The sequence below is a fragment of the Homo sapiens genome, chromosome 4 (genome assembly GCF_000001405.40).
Source record: "Homo sapiens chromosome 4, GRCh38.p14 Primary Assembly".
Taxonomy (NCBI): Eukaryota; Metazoa; Chordata; class Mammalia; order Primates; family Hominidae; genus Homo; species Homo sapiens.
The window spans coordinates 166,340,850-166,342,126 of NC_000004.12; the positions used below are offsets into that span (position 1 = coordinate 166,340,850).

The 1,277-nt window shown below is 31.9% G+C and overlaps 1 annotated feature.

Annotated features, from left to right (window-relative positions):
* Positions 455–624: an enhancer, noted in NCBI's record as "experimental_75875 CRE fragment used in MPRA reporter constructs". NCBI's record gives its function as "activates a minimal promoter by MPRAs in K562 erythroleukemia cells, with activity observed for both the introgressed and non-introgressed 4:167262541 variant alleles {active_cell/tissue: K562}" and the evidence as "EXISTENCE:reporter gene assay evidence [ECO:0000049][PMID:34662402]".

The following is a 1,277-nucleotide window of genomic DNA, read 5'->3' on the forward strand; positions in this document are numbered from 1 at the left end:
TCAAATCTTATAAAGGTCTTATCTATGATCTTTACATTTTATTTTCTGTGTTTTAATTTGTACATACAAAATGACTCTCCTATAGCTATAAGCATCTTAAAGGCTCTTCTTTCTAATAAAGTCCTCTGTACATTCTATATTTCTCTTGAAATAATGTGATCCTATCTTAATATTTCCTTTTATCACTAAGTTTTTTGAAAGAGGAGTCAACATATAATTCAGTATTACATCATTTTAAGAAATCTGGTTTTCATTCTCCAATGCAGATTCATAACCCAAAAGCCTTCTGGTTACCGAGTCCTACAGAAAACTTAATTTATTCGACTGTTTTTAGTAGTGTAAAAAGACACCAGTATTTTTCAAGCTTTCTCATTTCGTATTCTGATTATAGTGCTTTCACTTCGTACTCTTTTCTAACAGACTTTCCTATCCTCTTTGTGAGATATTCTTTAATGGTAGTGGGCTTTTTTAAATGTATTTTTTATCCTTGGACTACTACAGTCTGCATACTAACCTGGACAATATTTTCTAGGTATCTTGACTCAGATCTCATCTAAAACTCATGATGCATATACAAATTCTCATCTCCAACTCAAATCTCTTTAGTGAGCTTCAGATTCCTATTTATAATCCTGTCCTAAACAACTTCCATCAATGTCCCATATCCACCTCAAATTCAATAGGTTCATATCCAAATGCATTATTTATTTAATCTCCCCTTCTCTGCAGTATGATGTACTGGTCTTTCTCCTACAGTATCTATCTAAAAAAAATGATTCCCCTTTCATGTGGTCACTCTAGCCACCTAGAATTTTTCCTGAATTTCTTCATCTCTTTGACCTCCCTGCATTAAAATGAGTACCAGATCTTTTCACTTATATTTTACTTAATGTCACGTAAATACCATTCCTATTCTCCATATGTCACTGCCTCACTTTAAGTTTTCATTATATTTTACCGAAACATTTTCATATTGTCTATCTCTAATCCTTCCACCCTGTTCTTATTTGAAATATTTAGTAAGTTAATTTTTCTAAAATAAACAACTGATCATGTTAATCTCATTTTAAAAATTATTTAGTACATTAAGAAAAAAAATTGTGAAGGATGACAACACAAAGCTCTTCAGGATCAGTCCCTTTCTATTCTCTTTGTCATGTTTGGGAAACAGCGTGCTTATCCTCTCCACAATTTTCTGTTTTTTAATTCAGTGATTTACTTAATATATAAGCGTGATGACTCTGAGGTAACTGTTAGGGTTCAGCCTACTTGATGGA